The 11,087-nt window shown below is 51.4% G+C and overlaps 1 annotated feature.

Annotated features, from left to right (window-relative positions):
- Positions 7,525–8,125: an enhancer, noted in NCBI's record as "H3K27ac-H3K4me1 hESC enhancer chr1:4197352-4197952 (GRCh37/hg19 assembly coordinates)". NCBI's record gives its function as "activates a minimal SCP1, AML or CMV promoter by ChIP-STARR-seq in naive H9 embryonic stem cells {active_cell/tissue: H9 hESC(naive)}" and the evidence as "EXISTENCE:reporter gene assay evidence [ECO:0000049][PMID:30033119]".

An 11,087-nucleotide genomic window follows, 5' to 3' on the forward strand; every position in this document is an offset into this window, starting at 1 on the left:
GGTGTTGGTGTTGTCAGCAGGAGATACAACTGGGAGCCTGTTGATTCCTCTGCCCCACGTGGCGTTGGGGTCCCAGCAGGAGATGTGGGCCGGGAGCCTGTTGATCCCTCTGCCCCACGTGGCGTTGGGGTCCCAGCAGGAGATGTGGGCCAGGAGCCTGGTGATCCCTCTGCCCCTCGTGGTGTTGGTGTCACCAGCAGGAGATGCGGACCAGGAGCCTGGTGATCCCTCTGCCAGCCCAGGCGCAGGTGCACAGCGAGTTCTCCTGAGTTCTCAGGGACTGTCGCTGCAGCTGCTGCAATATCACAGGGATGAGTTCCTCAGAGAACGTCATCACCCGTGAAGCCTGTTACAGATGTGGGACACATGTATCATCATGAACAGAAGGCTGGGGCAGAGAGTGGTGAACCACGGAGGAACAAGGCTGCCGTCTCCTGTTCTTCCAAATTATTCCCTTCTTGGATGCCAGCCACCCTCAGGTGCTGGCCTTACAGCTGTGAATGAGCCAGGCCTGGCCCCTGCCTGCACAGAGCTCTCCATCAGACAGGGTGACAGCCTGACACGGGTCATGACCTGGTGATGGATGCCAGGAGAGGGGAGACTGGAGGGCTGGGGTGGAGGCATCTCCTGGGAGGCACCAATACCAAGAGCTGCAGGGAGGCCTAGAGCCAAAGCCCATCTCCTTCCTCCCGTCCCTTGATCTGGGTTTCTAGGCTGCTAGGAGACATGGCATGGGAGAGAGTTTCCGAAGGTGTGGAGTCCCCTGTGCTGGGGCATGTGTCTCCACTGCAGATGTGGACTCTCTAAGGAAGCCACAGGAAGGAGAGACTGGGTTTCTCAAACTTGAGCTTGCAGAATATTCATTTGGGAACCTTGAATGGCAGGGTCCTAGGACTCAGCCCCAGCGACCCTGGTTCTGAAGGGCCAGGTTGGGTCCATGGAAGTTTGACTTTTGGCAGGTATTCCAGGTGGCCTGGATGCAGGTGAGGTCATTTGAGGACAAGGCTGGTCTGGAGCAATGGTGCTTCCTACCACCTTACTGGCTGCAGGTGTCGTGGGTGAAAACCTGACCATCCATGTCCACTGGAGGGACTCTGCTAGCTTCTGGCATCCTCTGTTTTCATGTGGCCTGTTTTGCAGTAGGGGAGCTGAGACTTGCAGAACCATTATGTGGCTTTTGTCTACACTGTGGCCTCTTTTTGAGGTTTTGGGTTAAAACATTTTTTGTGTGCAGAGCTGGTGCCAGGCAGAACTGGGATGGAGATGCTGCCTCAAATGTGGTCTGTTTATTTATCTCAAGTTTCTACCATCCTGCCAAAGGGTGCCCCTCAAAACAGGTGCACACACACAGCCGCTGGATTCTCCAGGGTCCTCTGAAGTCCAGCTCTCCAGTGACTTGTTGCTCTTCTTTTTCTCTGTTACGTACATGAGGAGCACATTGTAACTGTGCAATAAATGTCTGTTGGTGATGGAGAAAGAACCCAGAAGCTTCACGCCTGCCCGTTGCCACGCGAGGTGTGGTGTAAGCAAGGCCGGCGTTGGTGGCTAAGCCAGAAGCTCAGTTCCCATCAAGAATGGGTGTGTGTTGGGTCCTCATTCTTGACTTCTGCTTAATCTCAGCATTGCCCACATTTATCACAGTTGTTCTTTTAGTTCAGTTCCAAGCAGCGTCAAGCTGAGTATAAGGTTTTTCTGGCACCCGAGGAGGAGAGGCTCAGACCAGCAACGAGTTTCAAGGAATGATCTTCAAGCTCTGAGTTCATTTCCAAAAAGATGGATTTGTTTTTGTTCCTGAGCCTCAGAGATGATCTGTTGCTGCTGGCACCCCCATTTATTGTACCTGTTTCGGAAATATACTGTGGCTTATCAGAGGCTAAACCAGGTGCTGGAAAACCTATGTGTGAGGTGTCCTCGGATCGCCCAGCCTGGGGAAGGCCCCCTGTCCCCCAGAGCTGAGCACTGGGCCTCACCAATTCCTCCAGGTAGTTATTACCTATCAGCTCTCCCTACCGCAGAGCCCATAGTGGGCCTTGTTCCCTGATGCCCAGGGCCTAGATGGATGTGAAATGTTATCAGCAAAGATGAGCGTTTCAGTGAAATAGCCGAATGTTCTTGAGGATTGCACAACCAAGGAGATATTTTTTCCAGATATGTTTGGGGAGAAAGGTGAGGATGAAGAAGAGTGAGAGAAGATGTCTGACTTCATTTACTGTTTTAGAAGCTACATGACAGTAAAAGATGGATCCTGCCCAGGTGCTTGGGACCAGGTGGGAACTGCATTTTTATGCAGTGGGGAGAGTCATGGGATAAGGAAACGTTTTCTCTTTTCTCCGTGTCAGCAATGTAACCCTTTCCCCACCTTCTCCATCCTTAACGTCTCATCCGCTCAAAAGACTTAACTTTCATTGAGTTTTTGTAAATCTTTAAAAAGTGTTCTCCTCCCTCACTCCCCATGTTAAGTTTATCTTCTGGCCGGGATACGGGGAGGATTCATGTTTTCTCAGGGCTGAAATGGAATGATCCTTCAGATCTCAGGAAAGGAGAGAAGCTGAGGTGCCTGTCAGTTTTCGGGGTGTCTCTAGAACGAGGCTTCCTCTTGGTTTGAGAAGGGCTGACTTCCAAGCCAGGGACTCCTTAGCCTCCCCTCCCCTCCCCTCCCCGCCCTCTCCTCTCTTTCCAGGAAAACAGTCGTTTGTAAAGCCCGGTCTCCCGCTGCTGCCCCCACCCCGACCTGCCCTGCCTTTGAGATGTCCCGTGGTCTAACAATGGGATCTTCTGAAAAGCCGTGTCCATAATTGAGCCTGAGCGCAAGGGACGATCCGGTCCACGGAGCTCGCCGTGAGATTCTCCCCGCTCTCTGAGCCCGCTCAGGGGGGTCCACGGCTTCCAGGCACCATTTTCCTCTTTTGTTGTCAGGGTTCGGCTAATGAGCAGCCTCCTTAGCCCATCTCTGCCCAGATGTGGCCTTCAGGGCTCCCCGAGATGGGGCCGGGCCTCATGAGTCACTCACAGCGACCCGGGGCGCCGAGTCCGTTCCTGCGGCCGAGCAAGGCCTCGGAGCTGCTGAAGGGGCATTCATCCTCGTTTTATGTGGGGAAAGCAGCGAGGAGAAAAGGCACGCTTGCAATTTAATGTAACTAAATGTCATTCCGCACCCCCTGTATCGCCGCTCAATCGAAAGCAACGGGGACTGGGGCTGAGGGGTAAAGATGGCGGCTGCCTAACCTGATTCATAACCCTCAGCGCCTGTTTATCATAAAATCATTTACGGCTCCATAAAACGTGTTCATTTGGGCGGCGGTGATGTATGTCTTTGATTTAGGAGCTGACACTTCTGCCCAGTGGCTGCCCAGCATGGGCTCTGCGGCCCCGAGAAGGGACGGGGAGAATGATCACACGGGGGCAGCGGGGCGGCGGGCTTGTTGATGGTGACATGTTTGGGCTGGCTGGTCTCTCCTCGGGGAAGCCTCCGGCCGGGAGGGAGGGAAGAGGAGGCCTGGGGCAGGCCTGGGGCAGGCCTGGGGCACGGTGGAGCCGTGTGGGGGGTGAATTAGAGGGAACCCTATCTGAAGGCTGGGGGCTCTCCCAGAATTCTGCCGTTTATTTAATAAATTCTTAGCGTGATTTCCCTCAGAGGAACTTGGCCGCTTCATGCGGGTCTGTTACCCTGGGCGCATTATTTATTGAGCACCTGCTGTGTCCAGGATTGTGTGATGTGCTGGGGTAGGAAGTCGTGTGCAAGGCAGATGAGGGTCCCGCCTGCAGAGTCCTCCCCCAGCCGTGGGCTCCGGCCTTAGGATTCCTGGACGTGTCAAGGGCAGATTCGAGGAGAAGGGCACAGCAGGCGTCTGCAGCCCCCATCCCACCCTCTTGCCAATGCCCTTGGGTAATCAGCCTCCTCACTCTTAAGCGGGGGAGGCACCTGGCCGACCGCCACAGGACAGGGTTATGCATGGACGAGTCTCCAGGAAGAATGGACGTGGAAGTAGAAGTTTGGGCATCCGGGGGTGGGCGGTGGTGCCGGAGCATCACAGCAGGGCCTTCCATCTCCCACCGGCAGGAACACACTCTCCAAAAATGAGCTCTGCTCCCCATCTCCAGAGCATCCTCCCGGCCCACTCCTTCCCTGGCTCTCCTTCCTGATCACGGGCTTGTTTTTATGAATTTGAAAGGTAAAAAGCCAACGCTCCATGGAACTTCATGTTTTCTCCACCCCCATAGTTTATTAAAAAAACGAAACACCCAGTAAATCATTTTTATGAGCAATTAAGTACCCTCTAGTGCATACATGGTGGGCTCAGCTGACAAATGGATTGACGACCCAGGCTAGGGGCTGAGCTGGTCTCCCCCGGTTCTGCCCCCACCCCCACCTGATCCCTTACTGCTCCCCTTGGCGGCCGAGGTAAGTGTTTCCATTCGTCAGTCTCAGGAGGAACGATGGTTTATGTTCTGGGCATGAGCGCTTTTATTTGCCATTATTTTCTCCTCTCCATGAGAACTGTTGGTTCATAACTTCTGTTATTGCAGAATATTATTTACAGATCTCAACCTAAGGGAAGCCAGCTGGGGGAATATTTGTTTGCACGGCTCCCCTTCCCCCAGACTCCCTCCCAAATCTCTAAATAAACTTTTCTATTGATTCTGGAGGGAAACATTCATCAGGCGTTGTCATGAGAGCAAGATGGAGAAGCTGATTTCATTCCTGTTTTTGGAACATTTACTCTTCATTTCGTTGCCCTGAGGATGAAGCACTCTCATAGATGGCCCCAAACACTTCCAGGCAAGACCCACTTGAGAGGACCAAGGAGCTTTCTCTCCAGACAGGTGACTCTAGAGCCTAATTCTTTGCCACCCCAGTGGGTTTCCAGATTTGTCCAGAGATTGTGACATTATCCAAATGATGTTTATTTGATGGACTCATTTGCAAAGTGCTGTCTGTCAAGGTAATGCAGAGATCATCCTTTTAAACCCAATATCAAAGCCAGTGTTCTGACAACATTTTCCCTGATGTTTAAATGCATTTATACAAAGAGTCTTACAAGGGCCCAAATTTAAGTCATCCATGTGATAAATCACCTTTGCTTAAAAGAATAGAGATGGGCGATTGGGACTTATCCCTGAAAAACCGAGATCTGTGGCCGAGGTAGTCCTATAACACTCTGGTTGTATGAAATCAGTCACCAACAGGGAATTGTAGCTCCAAAGCCTGCTGATAAATGTTTCCTTTTTAATCTAAAATACTCCTTTGTAGCAACCACAGTTAGTAACTGGAACCACCAATTGTGTCCTCAATGTGGAAAAGAGGGACTGGCATGGCGTGGAAGCTCCCAATTCATGAGCTCCGACCCCGGAGTTTGTCTGTCCCTCCTCTGCCTTCTCATCTTCACCAAGATGGGATGCTGTGGGTAGGTGGCCACAATGGACATCGTCCAGTTGGTCCTAACCAGTCAGTTCCTGTCTTGAATTCTGTTTTGGGAAGTGAGATGAGGACATAGAAGGGGTCACATCATGTTGTGGCCAACTGAACTACTGCTGAGGATTGCAGTGTGTCCTGGTCCACACCAAGAGATGCTCACGGAGAGTCTTCTCTGAGTCTCAGCATCCCCCAGGCATCAAGCATGGCCTCTGCCTTGCAATCCCCAAGGATGCACTGGTCATTCCTTAAATGCTCATTGAAAGGATGGAAAATGAATAAATGACTTCTTCATCTCCAAAGTATCAAGGTGGCTGCTCCCTTCCCACGTTTCCTTCCTAAAGACAGAGGTGGACAAAGACTCAGTGTCCTCTGTGGGGGCTTTTATGGGGGTCCATGGACATTTATTTGCAACCAATACTTACAAACATCAAAGTGGGTGGGTGCTGTAGTTTCAGGGTGTCCCTCAAAGTTCATGTGTTTGAAACTTGATCCCCAGTGCAACAGCATTGAGAGGTGGGACCTTTAAGAGATGATTAGGCTATGAGGGCTCTAGCTTCATGAATGTATGAATACCCTTATCTTCAGAGTGGGTTAGTGATCATGGGAGTGGGTTAGATATCATGGGAGTGGGTTAGATATCATGGGAGTAGGTTAGTTATCATGAGAGTGGGTTAGTGATCATGGGAGGGGGTTAATTATCATGAGAGTGGGATAGTTATCATGAGAGTGGGTTAGTTATCATGGGAGTGGGTTAGATATCATGAGAGTGGGTTAATTATCATGACAGTGGGTTGGTTATCATGGGAGTGGGTTAGATATCATGAGAGTGGGTTAATTATCATGACAGTGGGTTGGTTATCATGGGAGTGGGTTAGTCATCATGGGAGTGAGTTAGATATCATGGGAGTGGGTTAGTTATCATGAGAGTGGGTTAGTGATCATGGGAGGGGGTTAATTATCATGAGAGTGGGTTAGATATCATGGGAGTGGGTTAGTGATCATGGGAGTGGGTTAGTTATCATGAGAGTGGGTTAGATATCATGAGTGGGTTAGTCATCATGGAAGTGGGTTAGTCATCATGGGAGTGGGTTAGTCATCATGGGAGTAGGTTAGTTATCATGAGAGTGGGTTATTCAACATGGGAGTGGGTTAGATATCATGAGAGTGGGTTAGTAATCATGGGAGTGGGTAAGTGATCATGGGAGTGGTTTAGTTATCATGAGAGCGGGTTAGATATCATGAGAGTGGATTAGATATCATGGGAGTGGGTTAGTTATCATGGGAGTGGGTTAATCAACATGGGAGTGGGTTAGTCAACATGGGAGTGGGTTAGTCAACATGGGAGTGGGTTAGATATCATGAGAGTGGGTTAATTATCATGACAGTGGGTTGGTTATCATGGGAGTGGGTTAGTTATCATGGGAGTGGGTTAGATATCATGAGAGTGGGTTAATTATCATGACAGTGGGTTGGTTATCATGGGAGTGGGTTAGTTATCATGGAAGTGGGTTAGATAACATGGGAGTGGGTTAGTCATCATGGGAGTGGGTTAGTTGTCATGGGAGCGGGTTAGATATCATGAGAGTGGGTTAGTTATCATGGGAGTGGGTTAGTGATCATGGGAGTGGATTAATGATCATGGGAGTGGGTTAGTTGTCATGGGAGTGGGTTGGTTATCATGAGAGTGGGTTAGTTATCATGAGAGTGAGTTAGTGATCACGAGAGTGGGTTAGTTATTGTGAGAGTGGGTTAGTGATCATGGGAGTGGGTTAGTTATCATGTTATCATGGTGATGAACTCCTAATGAAAGGATGACTTTGATCTCCTTCCATCCTCTCCCTCTCTTGCCCTCCTACCTTTCTACATGGGACGACACCTTAAGAAGGCCCTCATCAGATGGGGGCACCTTGGCCTTGGACTTCCTAGCCTCAAGAGTTGTAAGAAATAAATCTCTGTTCTTTATAAATTACCCAGTCTCAGGTATTCTGTATGGTAGTACAGCATGGACTAAGCCATGGGAGATAACTTATTCCAGTTTAAGAGTTCCCTGGAGCATGCACTGTGCAGTGGGTATGTGGCCGTCATGGAGCATGAGATGTTTGTTCACTGTAAGCAGCATGTTTTGGTTAGGGAGCTGCTGTGTGCTGTCTCCTCGGCTTGGGGCTAATTGTAGTCTGAATTTGAGGCTTTCTTTCTGCCTGCTCACCTTGAACTTTTACTGCACTGCCTGGTTTTTGGGTCCCAGGAAGCAGTCTAAATAATTTGTATATACGCTGCCTTCGGCAGCACAACAACCTAAATAATTTGGACTCCAGGAAGTCCCTAACAATTCTTCTTGGTGTTATTGCTATTGTTATAAGCAGAGCCTGGCTACTGAGTGAACAATGGCCTAAACCAAGCCCTAGCTTGAGTCTCAAAGTTCAGGGCACGTGTCCAGCAAAGCAGGCTGCAGCTGAGGGTTGCTGGGATGCCCCTGAGGGTTTGGTGATAGCTGAGGAGAGGTCGTGGAGCAGACAGCGTTCTATCTTGCAGAAGCCCAAAGAACCAGATGGGCCCCAGCTCCCAGAGACCTCTCCCTCTCCTCTGCCTGACTTCCTTGCCTCCTTGCCTGGGCCTGAGCTTCCTTCACCAGCCCCTCCCTTACGTGGGGTCTGCTCCCACTTCCTCCAGAAGCCCTCCCTGCATCTGCCAGGTCTGGGGAGGGGGTCTGCCCTCTGACCTCTCCCGTATTACTGCTGACCCCAGCTCCTCTGCCCAGGCCCTGTGATCTGCCATAACCTGCCTCCTCCTGTTCCTCTCATTACCTGCCTGCCGGCCCTTCCACACCCCTTCCCTTCCCCACTGTTCCTGCTGGCTGCACACTCAGCTACCCCCTTCCACCAGCACTTTCTGGAGCTCCTGGGCCCTGCCGGACCTCTGACTCAGCCTCTGGGGCTGGCCCAGGACTGTCTCCCTTGACCCAGCTCATTCCCCACTGCTGTTTCCTGAGTCCCAGGGCGCTGTTTCTGGTTCTGACCTCCAAGCCACACCGCCACCTTTGTGCTGAACTAGAAACAGTGAAGATTCCCAGAATCTCGGACAGCTCCGCCCCCCTTGCCCTAAAGAACTGAAAGTGGAGGAGTGGGACCGCCTTGTTTTCCACTCTGAGCCTTCCCCCTCATCACTGAGCTCTCAGAATTTTCTGGACTCCGAGAGTCCCTCAAGGACTGACTCTGGACAGCGATGTCGGGGTGTGGGAGTTCTGCCTGCAAGAAGCTCTGCAGAGAGATAATGAACCAAACTGTGGTTTGAATAATAAAATAACACTTAGCGAGAGTAAACCAACTGCCACCGAAATGCCAGTGAATACGTACACACGCAAGTTTAGTACAAATGCTGAAAAATACCCTCTTCTCCCCATTCGAGATGGCATGTGCCCTGAATGAAACACTGAACCCAGTCCCTCTTTTCAGCCCCTTGACACCCTGCTGGAGCCCCTGGGGAAGGAAAGCGTTTTCTTCCCAATTTCCTACCCTGGGAAGGGGTGGTTTCCAGAGCTGGGTCTTTAGGTAAGAGGTGGTTTCCTGGGCTGGGTCTCTAGGGAAGGGGTGGTTTCCTGGGCTGGTGCTGCATGCGGGTCGTGGGTCAGAGCTGTCTTTCCATGTATGGTTTGCCCACTGTCTGTATATTCAGCCTCTGGTTTCTGAATCCCTGAGCCTGAGTTTTACCCACTAGTGGAAAGGGCAGAGGATGTGAGTGCTCTTCAGACCCCAACACCTGCATATCTGACTCCCTAGGCTGTCCCTGACTGAGAGCCCAGCCTGAGACTTCCACACTCAGATGTGCGCGCTGTGCACAGAGTGGACGCCTCGACCTGAACCTCTCTCCTGCAAAGCCTGGCAAACCACATACTATGGTGCCCCAAGAATGCAGCAGACACATCCTTCTCGCATTCATGAGGCTCCACTGAGACACTGGGCTCAGAGTCACAGGAAGGAAACAAACTTTGTGAAAATCAGAATGTTGAAGCCACTCCCTGGAGCCGGGAGGGCAGGGACTGTCATTGCCATGTGCACACGCAGGAGCACAGGTTTCATGCAACATCCTCACTCTGATAGAACCTAAGGGGTATATATACCTGGGCCCTAGGATATTAGCAAAGCAAATATATTTTGAGCAGCATTTCTGCCAATAATGGGGTGACAGGATGAGTCACCCCATTATTGAATCTGTGGTTCATACAGGAGGGGCAGGTGGCACTTTCCTCCCTATTTTCTCTCTCCCTGCTTCTCTTTCCCTCAATTTCTCTGTGTTCCTTGGCCAGGGTGTAGCTTTAGCCCTAAGTGTCCACTTAATTTCATTTCTACTCCCCACTCCTCCAAGCCTGGCTGCTATCCTCTTGGCTCCAATCTGGTTTGGGGGCCGGTTTCAAGCAGAGAAAAATACAGTTCAGAGGTGGACAGTGCATCAGGTTGCCCTGGACACAGGTAGTGACTCATCTGGCACCCTTTAAACCCACCTCTGGGGCTGACTATGAAGCCCCTTGCAGGCTTTGCAGGAGCTCATTCTGTTGCTCAAAGAAATGGATGAATGAATGGAAGACCAAGGCCAAAGGCCAAAAGAGAGACAGGGGGACAAGGGGGCTGCGGACAGGGAAGTGGGGATGGGGCGGGGGTCACTTATCTCCTGGCTGTCCCCGCTGGCGCTGGCAGGCAGCCTGAATCCGACATCCCTGCGGGTGGGCAGGTGAGGCTTGGTGGGAGCCTCTTTTCCCCTTTGTGCGTGGGGGGGTCCCTTTCAATCCACAACTCCTTGGTTTGGTGTATGGTTTCTATGGCTTTTAAATTTTTTTTCGTAAGATGCCCTGGCCTCCACCAAACTCCACGCCATGCTCCTCTCTGCCCTTCCCATTTGAGAGATTCAGAAAATTCCATTCATTGAAGCAGGTGGAGGTTTATATTTGGGAGGAACTTTCCTTTGGTGCCCTGACACCACTGACACTCATATTTGTCGCGAAATGTAACTTTCTCCTAGGATTCCCCCTCAAGGGCTCCCATGGGCTCCTTTCATCCCAGAGGACAGGAATTAGACTGGTCAACAATTAATGCAGTCAGAGAAGAGCAAGGTAAAGGAACCCAGGCCTCAGGGAAGGTGAGAATGGGAGCGGAGCCCGCAGGCCCAGCCCACGCAGGATGATGGAGAAGGCTCAGTCCCACACCATGGCACACCAAGAACAAAGCAGGCCCAGCCTTCGCTCACCAAATGCACGATGGCAGGTAACCTCGGGTCACACGCGGAACTAGGTTTCCAGCATTAACGTCATGGCCACTTCCTTCCACTTTCGCCGAGACCCTGCAGAAACGAAGATCGTTCCTTGCTTTACCTTCTGGCTCTATACCTGGGCCCCTGAGCTGCAAGGGGCCTTGGGAGCCAGCCCCTCCTGCCAACCCAGGTTTGAGAGAGCCCCTGCATCTGAGCCCCCTGATCCAAGCCCACAGCAAGGCCAGTCTCCCCAGTGCAGGCAAAAGTCCATCCACATCGTGGAATGTGTTGGAGGGATTCTTTTTGTGGGCAATGAGGTTTGGGGTGGGAGATACAGGGAAGACATAAAACAGGGAAAGAGTCCCATAGGAGGCCACAGCACATCTCAGGATAGCACTGTTCCCTGTCATAGATAGGGCCCCTCAGAGTG

This window comes from Homo sapiens, chromosome 1 (assembly GCF_000001405.40).
Source record: "Homo sapiens chromosome 1, GRCh38.p14 Primary Assembly".
NCBI lineage: Eukaryota > Metazoa > Chordata > Mammalia > Primates > Hominidae > Homo > Homo sapiens.